General features: G+C 37.6%; 1 annotated feature.

The window, feature by feature from the left end:
• Positions 2584 to 3147: an enhancer, noted in NCBI's record as "OCT4-NANOG hESC enhancer chr11:41519459-41520022 (GRCh37/hg19 assembly coordinates)". NCBI's record gives its function as "activates a minimal SCP1, AML or CMV promoter by ChIP-STARR-seq in naive H9 embryonic stem cells {active_cell/tissue: H9 hESC(naive)}" and the evidence as "EXISTENCE:reporter gene assay evidence [ECO:0000049][PMID:30033119]".

The following is a 9940-nucleotide window of genomic DNA, read 5'->3' on the forward strand; positions in this document are numbered from 1 at the left end:
CATACCAATTGGTAGCAGTTCTCATGCTCATGAATCTTTTGGTAAAAAATATCTCAAATGGCTTTCAATGTGAGCATTAGTGTTGAGGGTCCACATCACACAACTGGGAAAATAAATCAAAAAGAGAATCAAATGTAGTTCTTACTGACAAGACAAGTGACTGGGCTGGATGGTATCACATTCCCTTCTCTACATAATAGGAATTCCCTATGATAAATCACAAAGTACTTGAAAATTATCGTATAATAAGGATGATACATCCATTAACCATAAAGCATAAAACAAACTGCCAGGCTGGGTGTGGTGGCTCATGTCTGTAATTCTGGCACTTTGAAAGGCTGAGACAGGTGGATTGCTTGAACCCAGGAGTTTGAGACCAGGCTGGGCAGCATGACAAAAACCTCATCTCTTAAAAAAAAAAAAAAAAAAAATTAGCCAGACATGGTGCTGCATGCCTATAGTTTCAGCTACATGGGAGGCTGAGGCAGGAGGATCACCTGAGCCTTGGAGGATGAGGCTGGGGTGAGCCATGACCATGCTAGTGCACTCCAGCCTGGGCAATAGAATGAGACCCTGTCTCAAAAACAAAACACAACAAAAACTGCCTGCGTCATGTTGTCCAATTGTCATCGATAAAATACAAATACTCGAGATGAAGGAAACTTTACTGGTTTTAAAACACAGTAAGTATGGTTTCCTGGCCTGGTTTTAGTATCTTCTACATATATGACCTGTGTGAGCCTCTTTGTAGGCTTGTAGGTGGTAGCTTATACTCAAGTTTTCTTATGACAAGAGAAAATTTTGAATTTTAAATTTTCAATTACACCTTTCAATTCTAAGTCAGATATTGTACTACACTGGCTATAGAATCAGTTTGAGGGTGTCAAGCTCTATTTATTACTTTTTTTAAAAAGTTATATATTAATATATATGGCAGATAATTTAGAAAACACAGAGCTATAAATGTAATGTAAAAAAAAAATAAATTCTACCTGCTAGCTTCTCCCAAATCTAATATTATCATTTTGTGTTTTAGTCTTTAGAGTTTTTGTTTAAAAAAAAAGAAAATCTGTATGCATTTATAATTTCCTTTGAACAATTAGGGCTCATATGGTGTATGAAACTTTTATATCCATTATTTATAACCTGAGCATGTAGAGTATGCATGTCATATTTATTGTCACACATCGTCTTTTATATGCCTTAACTATAGTTGAGAAAATTATTGTACCATGAGCCCTGCCATCTCAAGGTAAAAGCAGTCTCAATTTTCCAGCCTCTTTAACAGTTAGGACATGGCCTAGGTGATGCAGACTTCATCAATAATATATGCCAGCTGCTTCAGTGTTCAATTTGGAAATGGATGACATAAAGAAAGAAACCTCATGTGGAATCTTTTTCTTGGTATAGCCTAGCCAAGAAGCATAGAGCTTTCAGGAATATCAGTGGTATTAGCTTCATGGTAGGGTCCACTCTCAAAATCTAAGGAAGAACCTTCTGGTCTCGTGCTTGGGAATGTTGCGATTGTGCCTGCACTAATGATAAAGTATGGATTGGGCATTTTTCTGCATGATGTTAAATCATAATTATCTGACTGTTTTAGGGATTATCTGAGCAGATAACCTTTAGTGAATTTCCTTTCTACATACAATACCTGGAAAGATTTCTGTGTTTTGTAACTAAAACTTAGGATGACACAACTATATTCCTTTGCCAATAAATTTTCATTAAAAATGTCACTTGAGAGGCAGAAAAAAAAATGCCATCATACACATATTGCAATATACATTTAACTGCCCTTTCATTATTTTATTTTTAAAATACATTTAACTCTGTGATCTTCCCGTAGTGTATTTTGGTTAGTGATGTCAATTAAAATATACTCAGCAGCCTCTGGTTATCTGCAGTTTCACTTTTCATGGTTTTAGTTACCCATGGCCAATCATGGTGTGAAAACAATAAATGAAAAAAACAGGCAGAAATAAACAATTCATAAGTTTTAAATTGCATACCTTTCTGAGTAGTGTGATGAAACCTGGCACCATCCTGCTCCATCCCTCCTGGGGTGGGAATCATCCTTTTGTTCAGCTGTATCCACATTGTATCTGCTACATTAGTCACTTAGTAGCCACCTAGGTTATCAGAAAAAACAGTGTCTACCAATTTCAGTGCTATCTGCGGTTTCACTGGGGACCTTGGAACCTATCCCCAAGGATAAAAGGAGACTACTATGTTTCCTCCCAAATATTTAAATAATTATGCCAATCACAGTCATTAAATAGTGCTTCTTCCTCCTGAATTTATATCATATTCATTAGAGGCTAGCATTTGTTTATCAGCCTAATATCTGATTTTATTATTCTGCCTATAGCTTTTGGAATCAGTACAAAACTTTTAAGCATTGTGCCCTTTTAATACATTTTAATATTTGGTGAAGGAAATGCTCCATAATTCTCCCTTGTCCAAACCTCATAGGCTATTTGCACAGCCTTATTCTTATGCCTAGTAATGTGTTTTAATGACTAAGCAGGTTTCTTTCTGTAAAAGCATTTAATCTTTTGTGAGTGGGGTAATCTAGGAACCATATAAATTCTAGACATTAATAACTCAGGATTAGTCGGAAAATGATCATTTGAATTATGACCCTTCAACACTGAAGACATCTGCATTACACAATCTAAGATGTAAATGGAAAACCTGCAACTGATATCACAAATGCTTTTTTCCTTTCATCTTAAGTTATTTGTTCCTCTTTTTTCTTCCTGCCAACTGGGCTTCCCCTCCAAAGTCCCTTTCATTCCAATTTGGCTAATCCTTTCCAACTGCAGGAAGCGCAGAGATGTGTAAGACCTCCCCCAGCAAGTTGATCTCTGCTGACTGCAGCCTGCCAGGTCCCAGCAAGCTGTCTTCTGGCTCCTTTGTATTTGCCAACGCAAACTTCTGTGGGTTTTTTTGTTGTTGTTGTTGCATTCTAACAGGAATGCTTTTGCTATGCCATGGAATCTCTGGCAGATAACTTCAAATATTGTCTCTTTGAAAGCTTAGCAAACTGATGCTCAATTCAACTGTATCTGAAAACCAAAATGAGCGCCATTATTTTGAATTGTTTATCTTGAAAAATTATGCTTTTATTTATTTTTTGAAGGTTAGAGAAAAAGAGCAAAAATCCAATACAATCTCTAAAATAAATAGGACCTTTATCTCTAGGCTTTTTCTGTAATCAAATGTTCTCACATGCCGGTTCTATTTTAAACTTCTAATTAATTAGCTCAGGAATTATAATAACCTCAGATTTTAGTCTCTGCAATAATATGTGGCCCTGTTTAATTATTTACTTAGTATTTAAAATATTAAGAGTTGTTACTGGAAGAAGACTATTGAATAAACTAGTAGAATGAAATCTCTATTTCAAAAGCAAATTGTTTAAAGAAAATCTTAAAAACTTCTGACAATTCCCATCTCATACAAAATATTACAATTGTTTCTTTCTCATTGGGAATTAGAAAAACGGTAAACTGTGATGTCCACTGAAAAATAAAATAAAAACAATATATGATTTAGTTTATACATCCACTTGAATTTCTTACAGAAGCCAGAAGAGGGCAGAAGATGCTGCATATAGGACCATATTTGCATTAAAAAAAGTTTCTTTGAATTAAGATCCAAAATTCCATTTCAGAAAAAAAGGAAAACATGTTAGATATGGCTAGTTTTAAGAGATCATGGCTGAATCAGAATGGGGCACATTACACAATGTGGCAAGTGTGTTTTATACCCACTTCAGCCAACTCACCTCAACTCTTTTTTTCTGAACCCAACTGTTTAATAAAAACAGTAAGAATCAACATGTATTCAGTCATTATATCTGCTACTTTATATTACTATTCTTTGTTTAAATCTACACAGTTGAGGTTCTATTATTGCTCCCATTTTGCAGATGGAGAAACTTAAGTCAGGAGACATTAAGTCACGGACAGTGTTAACACAGCTGTAAATCACAGCACTTGGTTTTAAATTTAAGCATATGGACTCCAAAGACTACATTCTTATCTATTGCAATACTTCTTGCAGAATAATGATCATATGATCTTTGCAATGCTATCAGGTAAAATGACCTACTTTTTAGGGCTTCAGTCTTAAATCCTAGAAACAAATTGATCCTTTTTGTCTTTACTGTCTGGCATGAATATTTTAAGAACTGTATTTAAAAGCAAGGACAAACCCAATTTAAAGTTAACCCTGAACACAGAGCCTGCTATGAGTAACTGTGAAGTTTGTGGTTTCACTCCTTTTTCTATCTCGTCTGCAGTGCTGTGCTCCCCCCTTGCAGCTCCTATTCTTAGCAGCAGCGTGGAGTGTCCTCCTGCTGGCTCCCCATTTCCTTGTATTAGAATGACGTTCAGTTAACTGCCAGCCTGCCTGGACCTGATAAATTAATTTTCAGCTTTTAATGTCATTCTTGTCTGGCATATTTGCATTTGAAGAAAGACCAATCCCTTGACATTTACAGGCAAACTATTTTATCAGATGGCAGGATTTTAGTTGGAGTGGTGAGGATGGAAGAGGGTGACAGGCATTATACAATGATGTGTTGGGTGATGGCAATATAAGGCAATGAGGATACTCCCAAAGACAAAGACAGAGGTAGAGAGAGAGAATAAGAGAGAAAAGAAGAGACAGAGAGAGACAGGAACTTGTGTGGTCTCATCAACAATATATACACGGAAAGTCGAAAGCAATAAAATGGGTTATTGAATTCCTTTCATTTTTAATTATGTCTTTTAGTTATTTTACCGTAACTGTTCTATGCCATTGCATATTGTTTTTGTTTATCTTAATTATGAAGTGAAGGTGGGGTGGAGGAAAAAATGAAAGGCTGAAAGGGAAGATGAGGAGATGAGAGAGAGAATGGGGGTGAGTGGGAAGAGAAGAAATGAATAAGAGAAGGAGGAGAAGAAGAGGAAGAGGAGAAGGGGAAGCACAAAAGAGAAAACAGTCCTTTGGAATCATAGAATAGAACAACTTAGATTGAAATGTGAGCTCAAATGTTTGGGTTTTCTCATCTCTCTCCCTTTTTTTTTTTTTTTTTTGAGACAGAGTCTCTCTCTGTTGCTCAGGCTAGAGTGCAGTGGCGTGATCTCGGCTCACTGTAACCTCTGCCTCCTGGGTTCGAGAAATTCTCTTGCCTCAGCCTCCCAAGTAGCTGGGATTACAAGCAACCTCCACCATAGCCAGCTAATTTTTTTGTATTTTTAGTAGAGACACAGTTTCACCATGTTGGCCAGGCTGGTTTCAAACTCCTGACCTCAAATGATCCTCCTGCCTCAACCTCCCAAAGTGGAGGATTACAGGTGTGAGTCACTACTCCCAGCCTGGGTTTTCTAATCTCTAAACTGGGACTTGTAATCTACTTACCCTCCAGAGTGACTGAAAGTATTATACGAGAAAAAACTATACAAGAATATCACACACACACGCACGCACACACACACTTAGAATAACTCCTGGCACACAGTAAGCACTTGATGAATGCTAGTGATTATTATTATTATTATATTATAGCTCCTATAACCCTTAATAATAGTCAAAACTCTATATAAATCTATTTCCCCTTGCACCACAAAAGAAAAACCAAGTCATTTTGCAGAACTGTAAATGTACCAAATTAAATGCCCAGGCATAGGAATTAGGGTAAGCAATATCTCGCTACAAAATTGGCACTCAATATCTCTCAGCACATAATCCTTACCATCAAAGGAATGAGCTACCTAAAATAAGCACATTAGTCAGCTACCAGAGACAAGCAATGTTAATATCTACAGCAAGCTACAAATTATCTAACAACCACAACACATGTTTTAGAGGAAAATATCAGAGTAAAGAAAATCAGACTTTAATGGTGCAAGGCTCAAGCTCCAGTTAGTTTTCACTGACTACTCAGGAGAAGGCTGAACTCAGATAGCTCTGGGAAAGGAACTGGGAAGTGGGGAGAAGTATTTTCTCTTTCCTGTTAGCGGCAGAACATATCTAAGAACCGGCCCCAAAGTATTTTACCAGCGAGGAATCCATACAGTGCTGAGGCAACCTCAATTCTTGCCTCCTCAGAAGAAAGAATTTGGCTGAGGGGCAGAAGGAGAGACTAAGGCAAGTTTTAGAACAGGAGTGAAAGTTTAATGAAAAGCTTTAAAGCAGGAACAAAAAAAGAGGCAAGTACACTTGGAAAAGGGCCAAGTAGGCGACTTGAAAGAGAAGTGTGCATTTGGACCTTTTGACTTGGGATCTTACACGTTGGCTTACTTCTGGGGTCTTGACATTCCTTCTGCCTTGATTCTTGCGTTGGGGTGGCTGTCTGCATGCATAGTGGCCTGCTGGCACATGGGAGGTGACCATGTGCAATGTGTTACTGGAGTTGTCCGCATGCTCGCTTTAGGCGTTCTTCCCTTTCCGGTCAAACGTCCCTAGGAGGTGACATACCTGTTGAACTCCACCATTTTGCCTCTCAGTGTGCATGCGTGAGCCCGCTCACCCAGTTCCTGAGGTCTTATCGGGAAGCTGCTGATTGCCAGTTTCAGGTGTTTCCATCTGTTGGGAGACTGCCTTTCCCTGGCACCAGCTGCAACCAATTATTATTTTAGAGAGACAGTTTGACAACTGCCTGACCATCACTTGATAGCCGCCTGACTTTCCTGGTGGGGGGTTGCGGGGAGCTCTCTCCTGCCCTGCTCATGCCTGACTACTTACTATAACAGTCCTATTTATATTTGTATATAAAGTGACATATCGAAATGTATTTAATAAATTAATAAGTTTAATACATTTTGAGTATGGTAGTTTTTCGGGTTTCACACCCATCTTAATAAAAATTTAAAATATAAGCCAATATTTTTCAGAAACAAACAACCAACAATACTGTCCTGATCATCACTACCGACTCATCTCCTTAACCAGTGTAAAGGATTTATTAGAAAAATTTATGGTTTTAGAGATTTGAATCAGGGAGAAAACACTTTGAAATTATATTTTCTAATATTTTCATTTTGAGCACAAAGAAACCTGGTTAAATGACTAACCAAACTTATTCCTACCATTAGTTAATTTTTCCCATTAATCATAGTTTTATTGCACTGCTTGCCAGCTCTGTTCACAGTGCCCATGGCCTGGTGTATGTCTTAGTCTCCTCTTGCTTGAATACTGTAGAACAGTTCTATCTTAACTCCCTGTAACCCATTTTTTCTTTTTAACTCCCTGTAACCCACTTTTCTTTCTGGTGTCCACCCATGAGTTCAAATGGTTTTCCTTAAGTACATATCTAATCTTGAACCTCTGACTGGTAGAAACACTTGAATGACTCCCCCAAAATACTCAACATATAGTCAATATTATTTAACATGACACTTAAGGCCATATGCATTGCATATTCTGTTAACGTCTTCCTCACAACCACTCTTCTATCCCCTGTCCTTCAGCCTCCCTGAGCTACAGGCAGTTCCCCAACAAGCCAGACCTCTTTCTCCTGAGCCTGGCATTACCTGTCATTACCTGGCATTTTGCTCTTTCTGCCTAGGTATCTCCTATGCTCTTAGCATGAGTTTATATTTCCAAAGTTAAGAAGTCAGCTCCTATTCACTCTTTTGACTGGCTTAGGGTTCTTCTGTTGTGTTCCCATGTATTTTTGTTAATATGTAGTATTGATTACATCTGAGTGTAAAAGCCTCTGATTTTTCTTTTTTCCTCTGGATTTTCAGCTCACTGAAGGTAGAAACTGCATCTTATTCAGCAATATAGTCCCAATTCCTAGAACAAAGCCTGGCACAGAGTGAAAGTTCATTAACATTTTTAATCAGATGCCAATCTTCTAACTCCTAGGCCTGAGATATTCTGGTATTTCGTCATATCACCCTAGTACTTCATTACCTACTATTTGCTTCATGTGAATTAGTCATAGCTCATCAATTGCACGGTAAGCAACTTGAGGGAAGAGATAGTGTTTTACTTATCTTTTTTTTTATCTCCTTCAGGGCCAAGTCTATAATAGACAGCTTGCAATTGTTAAAGAAATTTATTTATTGATGTACTTATCTTTTACCCAAGAAAAACTCTCTTTATACATAGATTCTTAGGAAGAATGGAATATGAGAGAGAGACAAAGTGCACACCCTGCTCCTGCTCTGGTTTAAATGAGATATGCGAATTTCCATCCATCTCCCCCACCATCCCCCAACCCCCTTACCCACACACGTACACAATTGAGCTTGGGGAAGCTCAAAAGAGCTTGTGAAGAACACAATTCTAAAGTTGTGTTCTTCAAACTGTGGGTCACAGTCCCATTAGAGAAGAGTAGTATTAATTTATTGAGTCACAACTTGCACTTAGAAAATTCAAAAGAGTATTGAGTTTTATATATGTAGTAAAGACAGTATTGCTGAGGCAAATCATTCTTCAATTGTTATCCAACAATACATGAGCATTTACTTATTGTGCTTCCCAGTCATAAAAATGTTTGAAATCCACTAATTTAAAGTGCTCCTTAAAGTCTAGGTTAAAATGTCTGGTGTAGTACAGTTGTTCCAAACATTGGCTCATATCAGGAAGAACTGACTGATGAAAATACAGAGTCCCAGATCCTATTGCAGCAGATTCTCATTCATTAGGCTGAGGTTAGGCCCAGGCATGTCTATTTTCATTGAGCTTCCTAGGTCATCGTGAAGCACATGCACATTTAAAAACCACTGGGATAGAGGAAAGGGCACATATAGAACTGGAGTGCTAGAGCCGGAAGGAGTTTGAAATTGTCACCCTCCCCGATGTTTGAATATAAACCCTCTGTTTGGAAATCCTCCTAAGACAAGGCAAAAAATCCATTCTTTTTGTTGTTGTTTCCTTTGCTGTGCAGAAGCTCAAAATATTTACATTTTTTAAGGTATCGTTCTAAATGGAATGGTTATTACCCACTGACTAGTTCCCTCTTATTCTGGGATATCAAATCCTTGTTTGCTTTTTTTGTTGTTGTTGTTGGTCATTTTATTTTATTTTAGATTTGAGAGTGTACATGTGCAGGTTTGTTAACATGGATCTACTGTGTAATGGTGAGATCAAACATGTATTTTCATGTTTTAAATTGCTGTGCTGTGTAACCTTTTGGAAGACCCTTGAATTTTTTACCACAAGTCTTATCCTAGGTCCCCTTCTCCTCTCACATTTTTTTCCGCTTTATTAACATATAATTGACTAATAAAATTGTGTATATTTAAGTGTACAATGCAATGATTTGATATACATATACATTGTAAAATGATTACCACAATCAAACTAATTAGCATATCCATCATTCCATGTGACTACTTTTTTTAAACGAGAAAACGTAAGATCGACTCTGTTAACAAATTGCAAGTATACGATACAGTTTTAATATTATAGTCACCATGCTATACATTAGACCCTCAGAATTTATTCATCTTGTAATTGAAAGCTTGTATGTTTTGACCAATATCTCTCAACTTCCCCACCCCCAACCCTTTCTGACCCCATTCTACTCTACGTTTCAATAAGTATTACTCTTTAAAAGTTTTTTTTAAAGTTAAGTTTTCACATATAAGAGACACCATACAGTATTTGTCTTTCTATTTCTGGCTTATTTTGCTTAGATGAGGGCCTCCACATTCATCAATGTTACTGCAAGTGCCAGGATTTCCTTCTTCTTTCTTCCTTCTTCCTTCTTCCTTCTTTCTTCTTCTTCCTTTTTTTTTTTTTTTCCTGATGGAGTTTCACTCTTGTTGCCCAGGCTGGAGTGCAATGGCACGATCTCGGCTCACCACACCTCTGCCTCCTGGGTTCAAGCAATTCTCCTGCCTCGTCCTCCCGAGTAGCTGGGATTACAGGCGCCCGCCACCACACCCGGCTAATTTTGTGTTTTTAGTAGAGATGGAGTTTCACCATGTTA

Source organism: Homo sapiens, chromosome 11 (assembly GCF_000001405.40).
Source record: "Homo sapiens chromosome 11, GRCh38.p14 Primary Assembly".
Classification (NCBI taxonomy): Eukaryota; Metazoa; Chordata; class Mammalia; order Primates; family Hominidae; genus Homo; species Homo sapiens.